At 57.2% G+C, this 21,107-nt stretch overlaps 1 protein-coding gene across 12 annotated transcripts in view, besides 3 other annotated features; it reads right to left on the bottom strand.

Moving 5' to 3' along the window:
- Positions 15-21,107, bottom strand: part of ZMIZ1 (zinc finger MIZ-type containing 1) — a 247,554-nt gene continuing 226,461 nt past the window's right edge. For 9 of the 12 annotated variants that reach the window (XM_047425538.1, XM_047425539.1, XM_005269988.4 and 6 more), the window contains 13 exons: positions 19,881-20,063; positions 18,844-18,921; positions 17,954-18,128; positions 17,343-17,484; positions 15,592-15,802; positions 14,322-14,427; positions 12,359-12,519; positions 11,303-11,370; positions 10,933-11,001; positions 10,190-10,434; positions 8,963-9,129; positions 5,350-5,610; positions 15-3,892 (listed from right to left, as the gene is read on the bottom strand). In XM_047425538.1, coding sequence (XP_047281494.1) covers positions 3,785-3,892; positions 5,350-5,610; positions 8,963-9,129; positions 10,190-10,434; positions 10,933-11,001; positions 11,303-11,370; positions 12,359-12,519; positions 14,322-14,427; positions 15,592-15,802; positions 17,343-17,484; positions 17,954-18,128; positions 18,844-18,921; positions 19,881-20,063 — 1,974 coding nt within the window. In that variant the 3' untranslated portion in view covers positions 15-3,784. The remainder of the gene's footprint in view (positions 3,893-5,349; positions 5,611-8,962; positions 9,130-10,189; positions 10,435-10,932; positions 11,002-11,302; positions 11,371-12,358; positions 12,520-14,321; positions 14,428-15,591; positions 15,803-17,342; positions 17,485-17,953; positions 18,129-18,843; positions 18,922-19,880; positions 20,064-21,107) is intronic. The other 3 variants (XM_006717925.4, XM_047425542.1, XM_047425543.1) reach the window with 1 other exon arrangement.
- Positions 2,997-3,496: an enhancer, noted in NCBI's record as "H3K4me1 hESC enhancer chr10:81072795-81073294 (GRCh37/hg19 assembly coordinates)". NCBI's record gives its function as "activates a minimal SCP1, AML or CMV promoter by ChIP-STARR-seq in naive H9 embryonic stem cells {active_cell/tissue: H9 hESC(naive)}" and the evidence as "EXISTENCE:reporter gene assay evidence [ECO:0000049][PMID:30033119]".
- Positions 4,254-4,754: an enhancer, noted in NCBI's record as "H3K4me1 hESC enhancer chr10:81071537-81072037 (GRCh37/hg19 assembly coordinates)". NCBI's record gives its function as "activates a minimal SCP1, AML or CMV promoter by ChIP-STARR-seq in naive H9 embryonic stem cells {active_cell/tissue: H9 hESC(naive)}" and the evidence as "EXISTENCE:reporter gene assay evidence [ECO:0000049][PMID:30033119]".
- Positions 10,929-12,128: an enhancer, noted in NCBI's record as "CDK7 strongly-dependent group 2 enhancer chr10:81064163-81065362 (GRCh37/hg19 assembly coordinates)". NCBI's record gives its function as "activates an origin of replication core promoter dependent on BRD2, BRD4, P300/CBP, MED14 and CDK7 cofactors, with strong dependence on CDK7, by STARR-seq in HCT116 cells {active_cell/tissue: HCT116}" and the evidence as "EXISTENCE:reporter gene assay evidence [ECO:0000049][PMID:35650434]".

Genomic DNA, 21,107 nt, shown 5'->3' with positions numbered 1-21,107 from the left:
TAATTCGCCAAACCTTTGTTTTTGTCAATTTATTTAGAAAAAAATTAACATGGGCAAATGAGATACCTCAGTGTTACAACAGAGTATAGAAATGTCTAGCAATAGTCAAATAATTTGATCTTTAAATACAAAATAACCACATGAACACCTAATATACAGGTTTCATCTGAATACATATTTATTAGATAAATATTAGAGGTTGTCACATCATCTAACTACATACAGCTTTGCAAGACTAGAAATCACAATTAGTTTTTTGACCAGTTTAAAGTATGAAATGATTGCATTGTACATACGATGTACAAAGACGATGATGGTTTCTGTGGGAGTTACTTCAGGCTGCACTGGTGGGTGTGTTTATGTGTGTACGTGTGAATCACCTGTGATCATGATATCAAAAATTATACAAAGTATGAATTTGGTTACAATTTTCTTCTGAAATCCCCGTTTCTTTTCATTATTTCCATAGCACCCTAAAAATACACAGGTGGCAGGACTAGTACACTGAAGCTAAATAGTACATGTAGGTAAAATAAAAACAGAACAAAAACCCCTTTCCACTCAGGGTCAGAGTATATTACATGAGCGAGAGAGACAGACGTGGAGAACTCACAAATGCTATAACCAACAGGATCTAGTTTTTCCACGTGATGGAGTTCCAAGCTTTTTTTTTTGTTTTGTTTTGTTTCGCAAAATAAAAACAATACACATTCCAAGAGAAATGAATGCATCTGTTGACACGTCTCTATTTCTCATTTACATATGTACACACGTCCCTTGAGTCGCTGCTGTTGACACGGCCCTGTGTGGACGGGTCAGGCCCGAGGCCCGTCGGGAGCAGACCTGTAGCTCTCTGGGGGATCAGGGCTTCCATTAGGGAGAAAGTATTAGCAGTTTCTTAAAAAATAAAATGGCTACACGGAACATGATACATGGATAAAGCTTCAAACCAAGAAGATGGGGGTGATTGCCTGTACTTGGCCCTTCCCGCCTGCCTGCTGGCTCCCTGTCCATCTTGCGGAGTGGCGGCAGAAACATGCCTGTGGGCCGGGTGGATGCTTGGCATGGAAAAGTGGCTTGCAGAGGCCTCGTTTTTGCTGAGGTTACTTATGGCTCCAAGTAGTCGTCCGAAAGGATCAGGGAAGGATCTCTCCAGAGTTCAGGACCATCTCTGTTTATGGGCGTTGTCTACCTGCACCTGTCACAACCTGGGGCTTGCTCCCGCCCCGGATGCCTCTGCACCTCCCTCACACCCTGGCCTGGCTCCCAGAGCACTCCGGAAGAGCTTGTCTCCAGACTGCAGGCTGTAGGCACCACGCACGGTTCAGAGCCAGCCGGAAGGGAAGCTCTGGGCCGAGCTTGCTGGTGGAGGCTTGCTGGAGAGGGGACCCAGGAAACCCGCCTCAGGTGCTGAGCCCAGAGATGGTTGCAGGAGGTGCCCGGGGCCTGGGCTGCAGGGAGCATCTCGACTCTCCGCACTGGAAAGCCGTGGATCCACCTGTGAGCAGAGTGTGGACACACCCTGATAAGAACCAGAATGAATCCCAGGCCTTTCTGGGGCAAAGTATCAACGCAAGAAGCAAGAACTCCTAAGGAAGGCATCTGTAAGTCTGTCTGGAGCTTAATTCCCAGATGGTCTGACACAGGGCGTGGCCACTTGCCAGGCCACAGACACTGGGCAAGGGTGGCCACATGCTACCTGGCGTTGGCTTGTCCCTGCCAGCTGACTGAGGGATGGCTCTAAATAGCGGGCTGCCCGGTCTTCCAACTCCCAGCACAGCCGCCCATTCTGTTCACCCCTTCAACTGTACAAATAGCCCTGGTTGCTTTTTTTGTTTTTGTTTAAAAAAAAAGAAGACTCGGTCTTTGTCATTGAGTCCAGGTATTTTAAAAACACCAGCAAAGGCTATAACCAGGTCATGAAAATGTTGAATATTATCAAAGACGATACTAAAATATTCACAAAGATATTTACAAAAGCGATTCTTAAAATAATTGATTTGCATACTGAACAACACGCTATTTGAAAAAACCTCGACAACGGGACAAAGGAAGAAAAGGGGCCGGGGCAATGGCAGCTTTCCTACAGAAAACCTTGTGCCGTCTGGGACAGTGACTGGAAGTCAACAGCTGGGGCCACCTTTCCGGTAAAACCCACAGAGGAGAGCTGGGGACCACCCACAGCGGACGGGAGAGCAGGAAAGGGCCCCAGGCAGCAGCCGGGAAGGGCGCAAAGAATTTACAGATGGGACCCCAGTGACGGGACAACCTGGCATCACCCTAGGCCATGTGGCTCACGGGGCACAGACCAGCCTGAAACAAAGTGAACACAGGACAGGCTCCCCAGGAGGCCCTGGAGAGTGGTAAGCCAGATGGAGCAAAGCGGTGGAGGGAAGGCCAGAGGCTGCTTTTGCTTGAGTGAGCAGGAGTTTGGGTGAGATTGTGATGGTGGAGGAGTGCAGGCAGGGTAGGCTGGCAGCCAAGGGCAGTGTCTGGGGCAGGCCCAGAAACACGCCCCCCTCCCCCCCATGCCTGCAGGTACATACTGGTGCACATGTCCATGGCCTGGGCTGCAGCCGGGGGCAGCTTGGAGCACAGGGACAGAGGGAGGGGCTGGACAGACACCATTGCCCTGGGCTCTGGTTTCTGCACCTCCCCGGCCTTTCCACGCACTGCCCTTGCCATCTGATTGGACAAAGAGAACTAGGACAGAGGGAAGTGGGTGTCCCACGGAAGTCTTGGAGAGGTGGCAGGAGAGGGACTAGGAGAAAAACAGAACAGACGGAGAGAAATGGTTTGCTTGCTGTCCAAGAGCAACGTTCCTTTTCTCCAGGTGACTTCATAGCTTTAAATTGTTGCTGTTTAAAAAGAGAGTGGCTTGGAGCAAAGTTAGAAGTTGCCGCTCCTGTTTGCTTCTGACAGGTTATATGCCCGCGCCCCCCAACCAAGGGCACAATCACTTTGGTTGGGTGTACACCTGCTCTCTCTGTTCCCCAAGCCTGGGCCCTGTCTGAGCTTGGAGGTGGAGCCTCAGGGACGTCCTGGCTCAGAAGATGTCCTGGCCCTCTTCCCCACCAGTCCCCAAGCAGGAATGGCAGACCCCCTCTCAAACACAGACTCTTGTCCTTTTTCTCTGCTTTCTGAGTGTGTTTATGGGGTATCTTGGCTTATAGGTCAGGGGTCAAACCGATGACCCCTGGCCCCCGAGAGACGTTGTCTTTCCCAGAGGTTTGTGCTTTTCTGTGGTGGGTGGTGGTGGGTGGGCTGGTCTCACTGCCACCAACTGCCAGTGCTCCTCCAAGGCTCGGGGCCCATGCTGGGGCCCGGGGGCCTTCTCAGGCTCCACAGTCACTGGAGGGAGGCTCTGGACCAGGAAGCAGGGAGGCAGGGTTACAGTCTAGAAGATGGAAGAACCTTGGGGACACTGGAAGGTCATCTGGAATCGGCACACGCGGAGGGACCGGGAAGCCGCATCAGCGTGTGCCCTCTTACCGGGCTGGTTCCTCTCGGGAGGGTGGTCTTCAGGCCTGCGCTGGGCATGGGCCCAAGCCAAGGGTGTGGAGGTGGGACGTGGGCTCCAGACCCACACAGCCTTCCTGGTGCACTGGTGCACCCTCCCTACCCCTCTGTTCTGAGAGGGCTGCAGCGGGGGAGGGCTCCCCGCCCCACAGCCCGTGGCTCTGGTGCGGGGCGGTCTGAGGGCACAGGCTCCCAGGTGGAAAAGTGTGTTGGGTAGGTGGGGTAGGATGCAGAGTGTGGAGGGATGGCCCCGACCGGGTGGCCCTCAGTTGTTCTCAAATAGAGACAGGAGGTCATCGTTACTATTGCTCGGCAGGTCGGGGGGGTCCAGATAAGACAGGAGCTCGTCAGGATTTGTGAGTTCGGGAAGGAGCTGGAAAAGAAGGAGTAATGAAGTTCAGATGAGGTGTGCCTGAGAGGCAGGCCCCGGGTGAGGAATGCAGGGGCGCCCTGGCCCGTCCCCCTCCACCTGCCTCTCAGGACCCTAGCCAAAAAAAGGGGTAGAGAACAGCCTTGGGCTTGGGCCTGCCAGGTATCCCCACACATACCCCGGCCACTGCACCGAGTGTGGGGCACCCCCATGCTCATTTCAAGCCTCAGGATTGGGACCCGCAGCCCACCAGCTGAGGCCTGAGCAGGGCTGACCCTTTTCAGGCATGGACTTCAGCCCTAACCTGGGAAGGCCCCATGGCAGGTCACTTGGGCCTCCCAGCTGAAATCACATGCTTCACGTGTAAGCACAAGGAGGTGGGCTGGTGGGAAGGCGGGAAGGCGAGTGGTTCCTGCACCGCCCCCAACCCCCCAACATCCCTCTTCTCAAGGGCTCGCCACTCCTTGGTGAGCCTGTGGCTGGCTGGCAGCCATCCTTCCCTGTGGCCCCGGAGGGGATGCAGACTGTCTCTACCCTCTACTGAGATATCCTTGGAGTCTGTCACATGGGGAGCCTCATGCATCTAAAAGCAGCCCCACTGGCCTGGTTTGAGGGGGAACACTGGGCAAGGACCTGAGATGGCTGCACAGTGAGTGAGTCCTAGCTAGCACAGAGCTCCTCTGATGCTGCAGGGCAGAGGCTGACAGAGCAGGGCTGGGGGTGAAGAACAGGAGGGGCCGAGGACAAGCCTCCTCCCGGAGTCTGGCACCAGCTCTGTGTAGGCATGGGCGGGGCCGGTGCTCAGTCCCATCCCGCCAGCCCCATCCAGCAGCCCAGCCCCATCATCCAGGGTGACCCCCACCATCTTCCAGACCTCAGGGTAGGAGCCCTGGCACCTCTGCTGCCCATGATGGCCTGCTGCCCCTGGCTGTGACCCAAGGCTGCCCCCTCTGCCCCCACCTTCTGTCACCCACATGGGGGCCTCTTGGAGTGAGCGATGGAGCAAGCAGAAGCAGGGCATGGACAACACGCGGACAAGAAAACTGGAGACAGACACACACCAGCGAGGCAGACAGACGGCCTCTCCCTCCAGCCCTCCCTGCCCGGGCCAGAGAGGCAGACACAGAAACCGCAAGCTCACCATCGGGGGAGGGCAGGGACCCTCCTGTGCTGCGCAAGGGACCCCGCAGGGCTTGGGTCAGAAGGTGGGTCAGGGCTGGGGTTCAGGGCTATGGCCAAAGGGACTGGGGGGACAGGAGCCAGCAGGGTGGGGACCCTCAGTGGTGACACTTCCCCATCATGGGGCTTCCTGGTCTGGAGCCAGGTCTGGGTGAAGCCCTCCCACCGCCCACCCACCTCCTCCCTTCGGGGCCTCGAGCCCTCACACCCACCCCTTCTCTCGGGCAGGTCCCGGCGCCAGGCCTAGCCCCAGGCCAAGGCGAGTGGCGACCCCAACTTACATCCAGCGAAGGCTCCGGCATGTCGGACGCTCCCTGCGCTCCGGCCTGACCCTCTAAGGCTGAGGAGGGGTTAAAGGTCAGGTCGCTGTGTGGATGGCTGCTGGGAGCGGCCTGTGGCGGCTGCCGGGGAGGCTGGGAAGGAGGAGGAGGAGGAGCCCCACTGTGATGTAATGGAGGCCCTGACTGGCTGCTGGGGTGTGGTACGTGCAAACCTTGTTGTATGGAGGGGTGGGGCTGGTCAGAGCTGCCAGCGTGTGGCATCTGTGGAGGAGGAGAGAGCGGGAGAGAAGAGAGGTGAGGTGAGGAGGCACGGCGATGATGCCTGGAGAAAATGAAACCCAACACAACCAGGGAAGTCACAACCCCCGAAACGTGGCCACCCGGTACGAGGCTGAACGTTGTTTCTGGGCAGAGAAACAAAGAAAAATTTCTCCCCCAAAACCGCCCATCAGGGAGGCTGCAGGGGGACGGCGGGGACCTCTCGGGCCACGTGGAGCCCCAGGAGGTGGGGAGGGCTTCGACACAAGCACAGACACGGGGAGCTGGGCCTGGGCTCCCCCAGGCCCCTCCACCTCCCCGCCCAGACAACGAACAACAGCGAGGGCAGGATGGAGAAGCAGAATGGGCATGTTCCGGGGAGCGGGAGGCAGGAGGGCGGCTGCCTCAGCGTGGTGCAGATCCCAAGCTGGGCGGCAGAGAGCAGACACAGACAGACAGCATTGGGCGGGCGTGCGGCTCAGGACTGGGTCTGCACCTCCCAAGTGGGCCCTGGGCAGGGGTGATGCTGGGTACGAAGGCGCCTTCTGCCAGTCCGAAGTGTGGAGCAGCTGGGGCCTTGGCACAAGCCCTGCAGCGCGGGTGGAATTTGGCTGTCAGAGGAGCAGGGCTGGGTGGGCACCTGGCCAGCCAGGGGCATCTTCACACCCTGCCAGACCCTTTTCCTAGACATCCCACTTGGTCGGCACCAGCCCTCAAAAACACAGGGTTGTGAGGGAGGCAGGCACCTCTGGGACTCCAAGGACAAGGAGACTGAGTGACGGTTCACCAATGGTGGGTGTCTTGCTGAGGGTGAGGCTGGCGGTGCCTCTCTAACAGATAACTAGAGGACTCGCACCCTCCTGTGGGCACGTGCACTGAAAACTGGGCTGTCTGTGGGTGGGTGGGTGAGATGTGAACATTCCCCTGCTAGCCTGTTTGCTGTCCCAAGCAGATCCTCCTTCAAAGTGAAAGGCCGGGGAATCCTCGCAGACCAAGCCCTGATCCCACTGCAAGCATCCCTGACAGCCCCCAGCCCCACTTTCGCTCTGCCAGTGAGAGGGGCTCACGGATGCTCCAGGTGCTCCACTGGAACAGCAGCCTGGCACATGCTTCCTTGGTCTTTTCATCCCCTCACCCTGCCCCATCCTGGGGCAGCCACACAGAACACACTGACATGTTCTTCCTGTGTGCATTTAGAATTTGCAGCCACACCATCCTCGGTCTTTGCCCATCCCCAACTTCCTTCCTCTTCCTGTTTCTCCTAAAACTGTTTCCCAGGCCTTGCTATGGGTCGGGCTCTGCCCACGGTCCAGGTGTCCCCTTCTCAGGGTGTAGGGCCCCAACCCCATGCGGCCTTAGGGAGCACAGTGCCCTTCCAGTCCAAGCCCCAAGAATGAGACGACCTCGCAACGGTGCTGCTGGAGACCTTGGGAGACCCGTTTATGAGACACATACAAGAGGCTGGAGGAATGGGCCACCACCCATGGTCAGTGAGAGGCCAGCTTAGGGCTCCCACTCCTGTAGATGCCCTCAGTGCCCACCCTGGGAGAGCAGGGAGGGGCTCCACACTCCAGCTGTGCAGCCCAGCTCAAGACAGACAGTCCCTGGATCTTCAGAGGCAGCTGTGCCCCTCAGCTTCGTATCTGGCTGGAATGTCTCCGGCATGGAGGGGCAGGTGCTGTTGGAGCACTGCTGACACACCTGTCAACCCGCCACCAAGTATGGGCAGTCTGTGGGGGCAGCAGCATCTGGATAGAGCGCTCTGGCCAGTCTCTGCGGGCATGGCAGTGCCTCCCAGCCTTGGGCTCAGCTGGGGGTGTGGCTGCCTCCACCTGGGCAGGTGTGGTAGAAGTTTACCTGTGACTGCCCTGCCCCACCGGCCTGGCACATCCGCACTTCCAGGTCTGCTTGCCCTCTAGTGAGAGCTCAGAAATGGAGGACAGGACCATCTAGAGAGCATCTTAAGGGGCTCTGAGGTCAACTCACAGGCTCAGATCAAGCCACACAGAATGCAGGCAGCGGGGCTCACAGAAGGCAGGAGAAAGCTTGATTGTCAAGGGGAAATAGACGGCATCAGCACTCCATATTCCAGTGTTAGGAACTGTGAGGGCGCAGGATGTGTGTGTGTCGGGGGGTGTGATTTTGGTGTCTTCTGGGTGTGGGATGCCCTCAGGGCCCAGGAAGGGGCATCAGGAAAGAAGCCCCCAGAAATCACAAGCCCCATGGGGCAGAGAGTAACTTTGAAAAACTTGGCCAAAGCTCCACAAAGCATCTATTTCCGACTTGGACTCCTGGGGTCCTGAGGGAAAGTTGCTGCTACCTCACCTAGAGTCCTGAGGCAATTCCATGTCAGGTGTGTGGAAGGCAGTATAATCCAGAGGCTCCTTCCTGTGCAGGCCACCCAAGCCCACTGCCAGACTCTGGCAGGACCCCGGGCCCTCTCCCTGGCTGGTGTGGCCCAGGACCCCCAGCCACGTGCTCAGTGATGGCCCCTCCTCCCCAAGATGAGAGCCCAGAATGACTGAGACCTCAGACACACCACTTCAGCCTCCGGAGGCTTCAGTTTCTCCAAACTCCAACTGTTCTTCCTGCACCCACGCACTGCCAGGAGTTTTACTCCATTAGCCCAAGGCCTGTCTGTCTTGCTTACACCTGTCACATGGCCTGCGCAGAGCACAGCTCAAAAAACGCTTGTTAAAATGAGTGGAACCACGTGGCACTCACTGGATGAGGACTCCAGGGGACAGGAGGGCCTCCTGCCACTGCCACTGGGGCCACAGGAAGGGAGGGCCTGTGGACAACACAGGACACCTTACCCCACCAGGGACGTCCTCAGCCACACAGGGCATATGTCGATAAGTGTGAAACAGAATGAGAAGTGAATGCTCTTCAGATAATCAGACTTCCTAGCATTTCTTTTGTTGGAGGTGGTAATACCCTGAATTCAGATCCTTGGAGAATAAGTGCCTGGGTTTGGGACAAAAGTTGAGGTGGCTGGAACCGTGTTAGGTGAGTGTAAGATTGTGCAAGTGGGAGAGGGAGAGGGCTGATGGCGTGTGCTGGGTAGTGGCGAGTGCATGCACGTGTGTGTGTATGCATGGGGTGGTGAGGGTTTGGGGAAGAGCCTGAAGCTTCCCCCATCTCCAGAGAATCCGAAATCCTAGGTAAAACAGCCAAGTCTAAGGACACTGACAGGGCACGACGTAGCCTCAGTTAGACCCCTCCTATTCCATTCTGAGCCCACACACCCAATTCTTCATCCTCTGCCTTGCCTGGGAGGGAACAGGGTATCCAGATCCCAAGGCATCAACCCCAAAGGCTGGGGAATGGAATGGGGTGAGGAGGAGGTACTCACAGTTTCCTGCATGGGGTGGCTGAGGGGTTTCTCGAGGGCGGCCATGTTGTTGGGCATGTCCGGGGGGTGGGAGAGCTGGGGGGGCCCGTGCATGAAGTCATTCATGGATGTCCCTCCAGGGTTCCCGTGGGGGAAGTCAAAGTTGCCATGGCCTTGGTAGTTGTTGCCTAGGAAGGGATGAGATGGGGAGGGGAGGGGGTCACCCAGAGGGATAGTGGCCACCCCCAGGGAACAGAGAGTGTGTAAAAATACAAGCCAAGTCCTTTTCCTCTTGCGAGGCTGTAGTAGGTCACAGCAGCCCGAGGCTTCCGGGCTGTAGGATAGAGCAGCCACTCAGCCCTGTCCCGTGGTCTGTGGTACCCTAGGGGATGTGCTGCCCCTACTGCTATGGAGGAGGGGGCAGAGTGGGACAAAGGGGGCGGGCCAGGCTCCTGTGGGGAGTGGGGGACATGGCCTGAGCCTAGAGCAGACCTGCTGAGCTACTCCCCAATGTGGGCACTTTTCATACCCAGCAAGACCCAGGCCCAGAGTGGGTGCATGTTCTGCCAAGCCCACAAAGAAAGCTGCAGCAGACTCAGGATGACACCCGCAGAAGCCAGCTGTTCCGCCTCCCTGGTCACTGTGCCCTCCACCATGTGGCGATGGCAAGGGTCAGAGGATCAGCAGACTGGGAGGCTTGGCCCTTGGCACACTGTGGGAGTTCGGCTAGGTGGCCTAACCTCACTGGGCCTCTCATGGGGACCTAAGATCACGGATCCCAGGGGGAGCTGCCACCCAGTGGGGGTACTTTCCAGGAATCAGTGGCAGTAGGAGTAAAACTTGGTCTGGGCAGCCGGGAGCGTAAGGGCCAGTGGGTGACCTTGGTGGCCAAAGGCTGAGGCTCTAGGAACCTGGACTCTGTCCCTAGGAGGGCAGGAAAGTTGCAGGGGAAATGTAGATATCACAGAAAAAATACAGGAGGGCAAGGGGTAAGGCCAAGAACTCGGGTGGGTGTGGGAGGGAAGAGGCAGCAGTCTATCTCCCACCAGGGCAGGCTCTGAAGCCCCTGGGCTAGGCCCATGTACCCTCAAGTCTAGCAAACTGGGAATTGTTTTTTGGGGGATGTGTTACTTCTCTCTCTTCAACCACACCCCCGACCCCTGCCACCATCAGCACAGAAATTCTGTGCCTCTGCAGGGACTTGGGGCTGCCCTCCTTCTCCCTTCCTCCCTGCCTGGCATCACCCACCTTGGCTGCTGTAGTCGTTGGAGTTGGTGCCCCCTGGGGGAGGCGGGAGGGGATAGGGGGACGGGCCGGGGCCCAGGGCTGCGATCATCTCCATGACATTGGGCATGATCATCTGGCTGGGACTCATGGTCTTGAACCGCTTGGAGGGGATGCCATCAGGGTCGTCCTTGATGTGTAAGTCCGACTTGATGGGCACCGGCCGCCAGCTGCACGTGGGATCGATGGTGACCTCTTCAAACTCGGAGCTGGGGGAGGAAGGGTGGCAGAGCTGAGGCTCCGGGGTGCCTGGCTTTGGGCATAAAAGCACCTCCAGCTCCGACAGACACCCAGGTGACCTTGTTGAGGCCCCTGCTCCCACTCTCACCACACTGTGGACGAGGCGGAAGCCTGGCAGGGATTTCTCTATATATCTTTGACATATGGGGAGACTGAGGCTAGAAAAGCAAGTGGCTGGGCACAGGGCAGCTGGCCTCAAGGGCTCCCTCGTGGGGAGCAGCAGGTGGAGGGTCGGGGCGGGGCACTGTCAGCCTCCTGCTGTGGCTGGCTTTCATGCTTTCTGGGAAGTTCATTTGTCCCCAGATCCAGAGGCCCCCGAGGGTAAGGGACAGAGAGGTGGGGGATGTGGGTCACGGTCTGCTGGCCTGGGAGGGGAGGGCTGTGTCAGGGCTATCCACCTGCTCACCTTGCTCTAATCCAGGCCTCGTCCCCTCCCACCCCCTGCCCCTCGCTAGGGCCCCACTTACTGTTGGATGGCATTCAGGATTCCCCACATGTACTGATCCACCTCCAGGCCCTCCAGCAGAGCGGTTTTACTGGAAAAGGAGATGGGGAGCTTGGCCTCTGCTCCAGGACCCAAGGAGGTAGGGGCAAAGCCCATCCACCTCAGTGTCAGTGGGGTCCCACCCCTGCTGCTGGTTACTACTGGAGGCACAAGAGAGGGGGACTCTGACCGCGTGATACCAAGGGACCACCTGGAGCCCCCATAACCTGAGCCCCTCTGCCATGTTTGGGTTCTGGTTTGCATTTAGGGCAGGTGGAGGTGGGAGGTAGCTGGCCCCTCCCGTCTGTGGTTGGGGGATGGGGGAAGCCCCCACCGGGGTGGGCATCACTCACTTGCACACAGGACACCTCCAGGTCCCTCTCTCGCAATTCAGCTGCAGGTATGACTCCAGATCAAAGCACTGCAGACAGACAGACAGACACAGGTGAGACCAGGACTGTCAGAAACTGCCTAGATGTGCCTCAGGGACCCTTGGAATAACTTCCCCACCAGAGAGAAAGATAGGCTGTGGGAGAAACCCCGGGCTGGGGCTGGGTGGAATGAAAGCAATGCTACCTTTCTGCCACGCAGAGTCCTTATGCCTCCACCCCAGCATCCCTCACACCACCTCCCATGCCCCAAATGACCCTGTGCCTACATCCTCTGAGAAGCCTTCCTGGTTCCCACCCCAGCTGACTCACTGTTTTTTGCCCTGTAATAGCCCCTTTCAACCAGGCCAGGGGTAGCCCCTTCAGCCCAGCCCAGGCACCGAAGACAAGTCTGATCAAGTTCATCCATCTGTATCAGATAGATAAAGTGACCAGACCATCCTCTTGCCCACAGCATTCTTTGGGAGGGAGGAGGGGAAGCTCCTGTCCCACTGCACCCTCAGGACCAGCTGCAGGTGACAGCCCTGGGCCCCTTCTGCATGCCCACCACACCCAGGTTCCAGAAGACGGCTCCTTCTTCTTCCAGGCCGGGCTGCCCATGTTTACTCATTGCTCTGTCACTGCCTGCTCAGACTGGGGCTGTCACTCACGCCAGGGCTACTTCCTGAACACTGACTTGATGCAAGGCCCTGGACAGAGGCATGAACTGGACAGTGGTGTCCCTGCTCTTGGGCCCCCAATCAGCCCTGACATGTGTGTGGGACTTCCAGCTGGCATCTGCCATCTGCCAGGGCAGGGGCTGTCCGAACCCATTTCTGTAGCCCCTTTGGCCTTAAGCACACAGAAAAGATGCTCAAAGATAAATGATGGCGGAAATTAATGAGTGACGCCAGCTGCTGATCTCCATGACGTCCTTCAGGACAGTGTTAGGACAGGCTCTGTTGCCCCTCTGCCTACCCCTCACCATCCCAGCCAGAGTCTAGGTGGCTTGCCAGAGCTGTGCTTTCTGGGGCCGCTCACCTGCACATGCTTGCAATCGTGTCCTCGAGCAGGCAGCTGGATGCGCCGGAATGTGATGGGGCACTTCAGAGACACCTTGATGGCCGTCTGCTCCACCCCATCCTCCCCGTTGAGGGTCGTGTTGCCCGAGGAGGCAGCCACGCTGCTGAAATTCCGCTTGACTGCGGGGCAGGAGGCACAGACAGGTGAGGATGGCAAGACAGTCCTGCAGAGGTAGGGGGTCTGCACGTGCTCCCCACTTCCTCGTGCAGCTGGGGCATGTCCTGGTTCTCCTCCCAGCCCACACCAAACGCTGAGAGGGCAGTGTGTGGCACTGTGTGGCAGTCACAGGGCCGGGTGCCCGGGCTGCTGTCTCCATGTGGGACACGTGTGGTGTGTGTGTGCCAGACGAGGTGGCTGTGGCAGTTCCCCTGTCTCTGCAGAGCAGGCCCTGCCTTCGCGAGGAAGGGGCATGTCTGCAAAGCTCATGGAAAGTCATTATGGCACTTCTCTGATTTACTGGGTCAGTGAAAAGCCCCCTCAGGCACTCCTGCACTTCACTCTGCACATGTGGAAATGGAAACGGACAGCTGCCTGCTGGAATCCCAGGACTCAGGGCAGCAATGTGAAGAGTGGCCCTGTACCTCTTGCACAGGGCCCGAGTCCACACCCGGAGTCTCCTTCAAAGGGGACTCCAAGCCAAGTCCCTCCATCCCAATTTTTTTTTTTTTTTTTTTTTTTTGTGGCAGTGTCTGGCTGTGTTGCCCAGGCTGGAGTGTGGTGGCTTGATCATGGCTCACTGCAGCCTCGACCTCCCCAGCTCAAACAAATTCTCCCACCTCAGCCTTCTGAGCAGCTGGGACCACAGGCACAAACCACCACACCTGGCTAATTTTTTATTTTTCTGTAGAGACAGGCTCTCACTATGCGGCCAGGCTAGTCTTGAATTCCTGGACTCCCGCCTCGGCCTCCCAAAGTGCTAGAATTACAGGCATGAGCCACTGTGCCCAGTCCTCTCCTGAGTTTAAGCATAAGCTGGCCAGGTGTGGTGGCTCGCGCCTGTAATCCCAGCACTTTGGGAGGCCGAGGTGGGCGGATCGTGAGGTCAGGAGATTGTGACCATCCTGGCTAACACGGTGAAACCCCGTCTCTACTAAAACACAAAAAATTAGCCAGGTGCGGTGGTGGGCGCCTGTAGTCCCAGCTACTCGGGAGGCTGAGGCAGGAGAATGGCGTGAACCTAGGAGGCGGAGCTTGCAGTGAGCGGAGATAGCACCACTGCACTCCAGCCTGGACGACAGAGCAAGACTCCGTCTCAAAAAAAAAAAAAAAAAACTTAGCTGGGCGTGGTGGCATGCACCTATAGTCCCAACTCCTTGGGAGGCTGAGGCAGGAGAATGGCGTGAACCCATGAGGCGGAGCCTGCAGTGAGCCGAGATCATGCCACTGCACTCCAGCCTGGGTAACAGAGCGACATTCTCTCTCTCTCTCAAAAAAAAAAAAAAAAAAAAAAAAGCATGAGCTGTTGAAGTAGGGAGGCCAATCTGGAATCCACCCTCCATGCCTTCTGCCTGATGAAGATCCCCTCTTCTCTAAATCCTCCCATCTTTTAAAGGCCTGGCCCAGGTCATCACCTCCTCCAGGAAGCCTGCTTCCTGACATTTTGTTTTAATCTGCCTCATGTCCTGTGCTGCTATTGCAGGTATGCCTGTTCTGGCTCCCAAGCTGGACTGCCAGCTCTTCCACACAGGGCAGGTCCCAGAACTCCCACCAGCTCTTATGGGACCTAGCTTCTCTGACCACGACAACAGCCCCAGGAGGAGGGCATGAGCCTCAGGACAGGGCGCGCTCAGGGACACTCCAGGCCCGGTGGTGACATGCACGGAGGCAAAGGTCAGTTCCAGGTGAATGGTGACTGCTTCTCAGTCCCAAACTCAGGCGGGGATGGAGTCTGGCCCTCACCCCCGTCCCCACCCTGACTCACTTTTCGTGATACAGTGCTCTGCGGGCAGGAGGCGCTTCTTGAGGAGTCCTTGCAGCACAGAGCGGACGGAGGGCCGGTGTACCAGCTGCAGCACGAAGAGGTGGGACTGCGGGGAGAGAGGAGACACTCAGTTCCTGTGCACTGTCCCCACACCCCGCCCTGCCTGCAGCCTCAGCAGCCCTAGACTGCTCCCAGGATCCCACAGCCGGCCCAGGAGGCTCCCCCAGGGTGTCTCCTGGGACTTGCGAGCCTGAGCACTACTCTGGAAAGGCTGCCTCTGCTGCAGATCGACAAGGTGGACTTTGACACTGAAATACTCCCTGGATAAGGTTATAGGACACAAGGCTTTAAGCCTGGGTCCCACTTTGCTTCCTAACCTCCCCTACCACTGCCTCCCCATCATGTGTCCTTAGCCCTTCCTGCCAGGGTGCTCATCCCTCCCTTCACTCCTCCAGGAAGCCTTCCAGAACTGCACATCCCAAACGTCCACCCATCAGCCGCCTCACTCTGACAGTTGTGCAGCCTCACACAGCACATCACATTCCCCAGCCAGAATGGGATGTGCTGCCCAGGTCTGTGACCCCTATCTCTGTGTAGCCTCCGTGCCCCTAAGCTCACAAGGGTGGATCAGAGTGTTTCCTTCTCCATGCCTCCACAGAGAGGCCAGTGGAGTGGGGCAGGCAATTTACTTCCACTGGGGCCTGAGCAAGCCCTGTGTGTTGGGCCCTGATCTTCAGGGGACATGAGGGTGGCTGAGAGCTGGTCCTAGGTAACAAGTCACGGGTTGGAAGGACCCCCATACGTGACTCTAAGACAAGGGGGTTGGGAAAGAAGGGAACGCGTTAACTCCAGGTTTGGGGGCGTTGGGTCTGGGGGAAAAGGTGCTGACAATGACAACTGCTGGTGAATGAGGCAAGCAGGACATGGCTTTGAGGAACACAGAACTGCACCAATGAATGAAGGGTAGGGAGGAGGGGCCAGGAGGGGTGAATCGGAAGCATGTGTGGAGAACAGACGGAGGCTGAGTGTCCAGGGGAAGAGGCCACGTCTGAAGCCAGGGCACAGTGGCTTTGAAGGCCCAACGGTTTGAAGGTTATTGCACAGGCCCTGGGCACAGGTAAGGGGACGCTGTATCTTTGGCGGCTGTGGGCACGGGGGTGGTGACGCAGGGACAAGGCTGAGGACCAGAGTGGGGCAGGGTATTCCGCACTCTCATGCCGTGAAACAGGGCCTGCCTGTGCCAACGCTGCCCCTGGCCCACCACACTCACGCAGCAGCAGGCCGTGACGGTGATCTGGATGGTGTTGCGGCCCGGCTGGCACACGTGCTTCAGGTGCAGGGGCTTGTGGGAGGTCTTGTTGTCGCCGCGCTCAATGGTGAGGGGCGTGGCGTTCACGCTGACCTGCACCGAGGCGGGCCAGTTGGTGTTCATCTGCCGGTCCTCGTGGTGGTAGCACTTGAACTGCAGCTCCAGGTCAGACCTAGGTGGGGAACGAGGGTGCTCAGGGCAGCTCTGCCAGGGGGCTGTCCATGGCCTCCGTGACCCCGAGCCAGGTCACACACCTCTAAACACACCACAACCTCCGAGATCCTCAGGACCCCATCCCTGACCCCAATGATTCCCCCAGCCTGAGTTCTCCTCTCCCATTCTGGATACTCCCTCTACACCCAAACTGCCCCCAAGACCCCCGCACACCAATCATTCCCATCACACCCCACAGCTCTAGCTCCCATCTCCCTGGAATGTCCTCCCTGTAGGGGTCAACTCCTGGATCCCCAGGACAGAGACAGAGGGGCAAATGAACAGGCACTCATTTGACAAGACCTGCTGTGAGGCCAGCCAACCCCATCTCTAGACCTGCTGGGAGCTGTCCTCCCAGGCCACGGCCATTTCTGGTTCTGAGCACTCCCCAAGGAGGCCCCCCAAGGACGCAGCACTGAGGAGTGTCAGGAACCAGCAGTGACCATATATGTGTGACAAGCAAGCCAGGAAGAGGAGGCCTCCCAGGCCAGGACACTCCCAGCTAAGGAGCGTGGGTGAGCAGGGTGCAGGCAGGCAGCACAGTGGTTTGTCCCGTGCCAGGGACCTCTGTCCTCCTGCCTGAGCGTTGCAGCTCCTGTGTTCTGAACGCCCACACCAGCTATCTGTGGCCACCTCACCCAGCCTGCTCAGCATGGTCAAGAAAACAGCAGGGGTGTGTGTGCATGTGCCAGGCACAGACCCAGCTCTTGCGCTGGAGATGCTCACTGGGCAGTCAAGGGGGTCTGAGTCACAAGCACAGTGAGACTGTGAGTCTTGACTGAGGATGAAGGACTGAAGGGTGGACACCCCCAGGGTTGGTTCTGGCATCCTGGAGACCTGGGCCCAAGTCTCAGCTCCGCCCCTGGCTAGCTGTGAGAACTCACACAAGCCAATTCACTTCTCTAGCCTCAGCTTCCTCCTCTGTCAAAAGGGAAAGTGTTGCCCATTTCCAAGATCAAAGTGGGTCACACGTGGAAGGTGCTGAGCATGGGCCTGGCTCAGCAGGGAACCTCCGGACCTTGTGTTCCAGCACGTGCCTAAGTGTCTGAGCAGCAGCCCTGCCCAATGGTCAGCCCCCTGCAATAGATGGGGCCTGCCTGACCCCGGCCTGGCCCTTGCACCAGCCTCATCTCTGCATTCCTGGCTCTGGCCACATGAGTCACACTCGAATTCTTGACTGCGTTCCCTCTTGTCAGCTCACGGTCTCAGATGGGATACACAGCTTCCCAGCCTAGGTCTGAGCCAGCCACCTTTTCCTCTGGGGTGAGTGACAGCTGCTCCCTGCCCTTGGGCCACGACACCTTGACTGCTCATCTACCTGTGCACCTGCAGACTTCCCATGACAACCGCAGGACAGGGCCCAGTCAATGATGCTGAACACGTGAAGGTGTCAGAAGATGCTGCTACCCCCTGCCCAGGGCCCCACTCGGGCCCAAGGAAGCCATCCCAGGGGACCTCCTTCATCCCGCCTGGGCTGGCGCCCCTGCCCTGACACGCACCTCCACATCAGCGTCTGGTGGACCGTGGGCCGCAGGTGGAACACATGGTTGCTGACCGCCAGGTTGTGCTCCAGGCGGAAGGGCTCCAGCACCACGCCATCCCGCACAGGGAATGTGAGCCGCAGCTCGTCATTGTGGTTGGCTGGGGCGAGGAGAGGAGGTGGGTGAGCCACAAGCCTCAGCTGCCATGGGTTCTGGGGCTGTAGGTGGGACTTGCTCACCCTGGGCTGCATGCTCAGAGGAAGGCAGGGGTGTGTAAACAGGGCCAGAGACATAGCCAGTCCAAGGGCACACCAGTGAGTCATGGCTTCTTCGATTCTACACGGCCCCGCCCCAGCGACTCATCCCCTCTTCTTCCACCCGCCTCCTTGCATCCTTCCATGGCTGCGTATAGATTTTCCTCCCAGCCTCCAGGCGCCCAGGCAGCAGTAAGAAAGGCTGTCTGTGAGCTGCCTACCCCGCCTTGAGTGTGCCCCTGGGTATCTCACCTGCTCTCAACTCTCTGCCCCTTCTGATGCCCACTCCCCAGGCAGCCTGACTGCGAAGCCCCTGCTCCCGGCCCACTGGGGGGCCCAGGTGGAGCTGCCAAGAGAGGGAGGGAGGGCCCTCACCTGGGGGTGGTGGCAGAGCGCTCATATTTGGCTTGATGTCAGGCGGGAAGGGTGGTTTGACGTCTTGGCTGGGGGACAGGTATGGAGGGATGCTGCTCCCAGGGGTCATGGGGGGTGTGGGGTTCCCTGGAACAGGTGAGTGGGGGTAATTTGCCACAGGAACCGGCCTGGGAGGCTGGAGGGAAAGAAAAGACACGCACGAGTTATGGGATTACGGAGACAGAAGGGGCCATGGCTATGGACATACACCGCACTCATCCCAGGGGCCTGGAGCCATGCCCCTCGGGAGGAGAGCCTCCTCCAGGGAAACTCTTCTCTCTCGCAGATCTCTGTCCTGCTCAGAAGACAGCCCTGGGAAGGGCCTCCCCACCCTTCATCTGGGTCTCACCACTGAGCTCCTGTGTCAGGTGCCTGTGGAGACCCTTACCCATCCCTGTGATAAATGGGGACACAGAGGCTCAGGGTTGGGGACTTGCTCAGCACAACCCTTGGAGGACAGGACAGCGGGAATGAAGCCCAGGCCTCCTGTCACCCGAGCAGGTGGGCTTCCCACATCACGACTCAAGGCCACACCCTCTATGCCTACCCCATCAGGGTCCCCAGGTGGAGTCGGGGCCTGCAGAATCTGGGGCCCAGGTTCCCCAGGAACCCCTCTCCCTCTCCTTGTTTTCAAGACTAGCCAGGCTGACACTTTACCCTGGGGCTCACCCCACCTGGAGCCGTGGATTCTCAGTCCTGAGCATCTCTGTCCCCAGGACAGGGGACCAGGGAGTGCACCCCCACCCATGGGCCCCTTTGAATGTCCAGAGAGGCTGGAGCAGGAACAGTGAGAACCTTTAGAGGCAACAACTCCCTGTGGCTTAGAATTTGTAAATTAAATTGGAACATACCCTGTTGACATTCCCTTGGCTGTAGTTACTGTAGCTGCTTCCCGAGAACGTGTTATTTTGTCCATTAAACTGTTCTGGCTATTAAAACAAGATAAACAACACTGAGTGGGGGGCAGAAAAGCCATCAGAAGCCCGCTCTCCCTCTGGACAGTAAAATCTACCAGGAGCACGGGGATGCTACAGGGGCCCATCCACTGCTGGGTATATTGAGTGAGCAGGGCGGGACAGCTACACCTCAGGGACGGCATTTTGCCTCTCTCTGTCCCTAGCTATTAATTTAGCAGAAGTTACAAAAATAGCAACACCTAGTATGCTGAAGTTGGAGCAAAAACGGTAAACCTGTTTGGTAGATGGCCATAATAAATTAGCATGATTTTTGGCAAATAAATGTAAAATAATAAAGTGTCTTCTTTACTCCCAAGAAAATAATCCTAAGGAAAGGAAAGGCTATATGCCTGAAGATACTCATCATAGTGTTATTTCTAAAGTGAAAAATCAGAAGCAACCCAAATACCTAACAGAAGGAATAATAAAATATGATATGGTGATCTCAGCAGAATATTAGGCAGCCATTAAAAGTAAAAACCCCAGGGGCTCTAGTAGCAGTAAGTATCATCCTTATTATGTCATGTTAAGTAAAAGGTACAGATTCAAAGTTACAGCTGTAATAACAATTTTATAACATGTTAGTGCCCACCTGCACATACAAAGTTTAGAATGAAATGTTAATATATACAGGGGATGTGTGTTTTTTTAATAAAATATATTTCCTTTATTATTTTGTGAGTGCCGTGAATAAGAAAAGGAGAAAAAAAAACCATCATCCGAGACGAATGAGAATAGGAACTGAGAAAAGCCACTCTGACATTCTGGCCACCGAACTTCGCCCTGAACACATGGGGACGTTCAGAAATCACCCACCCCTCGCTGTCCTTGGGGCAAACACACGCAGGGTCAGAGTGATCCCGGTGGAGTTAGGGGAGTGAGGTGGTTAGGAGGGAAGGGGCCCCGTGGGTGGTGGCGAGGCTGGGACTCACCTTGTAATACTGCCCCATGTTGACCGTGGGGGGCGGGTACTGCCCGGAGCTCGGCTGGCTGGGCATCCTCTGTCCTGGGTAGTTGGGGGAGGTGAGTGGCCTCGGGGGGTTGGGGGCTGGGTACTGGCCTGGCTGGGTGGGGAACTGGCTGTTTGGTCCATATTGCTGGTTTCCATAGTTGGGCTGTGGTGGGAGAGAAAGGAGAGGGGAAACACGTTCAATGTTGCCAACGTCACATAGCCAGGTCACCTGAACAACGGGATGGGGCCCGCCTCTCCTCATTTGCTCCTGCTGTTTCCCACCCACAAAACCAGATAATGCTTTGGGCCCCTTCTCGTCCTGACATCCAGGGGCATTTTGTTCTGCCTGTCCAGATCATAGGCCACCTCCCCTTGAGGCCGTTCTTCCTGGAGCACATGTGCCCCTGAACTCCAGGGACACTTTCAGAGCCTCTTGCTCACACCATTATGAGGGGCCTGATTCTAACTCCCCCGACCTTTGTGTCTCTCCTGGTGCCTGGGTTAGGGCTGTGCTCCCCAATGTGTACCCCAATGTGACAGAGGAACACAGTCAACAGGATGCAATTCCAGAAAGGAGCCCCCTGTGCCCCTGCATTCCAAGGCTGAACTTGGGTGGCATTGTCCTCGTACTCCCCTCAGAGCAGAACACACACCTAGTGTTCAGTTCTGGGCCATCGACAACCTGCCACCTGTGCAGGAGGTGGGAGAGCCAGGTTGGTGAAGGAACAAGACAACTTCTCCCGGGACAGACAATTTAGAGAAGAGGAGAGAGCACCACCCTCCAGCCACCTTCCCTGTCTGGAAAATCAGGTGACCCTCACGGCCACATGACATCCTGTGAGTCAGTGGTTTCTTCTTCCCCATCTGAGTGTCTCTCTTGCCCAGAGGTCCTGTTGGTGGCTGTGCCCCAGTGCCTGGGAAAATACCCTTAATACTTGCTCAACAAACGAATGATGGACTTAGGGATAAATGTCAGAAAGTGTCAGTGTGGAAGAATCTACAACTCACGTTGTTGCAACATGGTGGCTGCTCTGGGTGACAGTGAGGCACCCACCACAGGAGGTATAGAAGACGTAGCTGGTGCCTACCTGCCCACCAAGCTAGAGAAGAGAGTCCTCTGTGGGACCAGATGACCCAACCCCTGTCCTAAGGCTCCAACAATTCAAATATTGTATGAACAAGCCATGGCAAGGGGAAGGAAGGCCAG

Source organism: Homo sapiens, chromosome 10 (assembly GCF_000001405.40).
Source record: "Homo sapiens chromosome 10, GRCh38.p14 Primary Assembly".
Classification (NCBI taxonomy): Eukaryota; Metazoa; Chordata; class Mammalia; order Primates; family Hominidae; genus Homo; species Homo sapiens.
The sequence above is the reverse complement of the archived record's forward strand: the minus strand, read 5'-3'. Positions and strand labels throughout refer to the sequence as shown.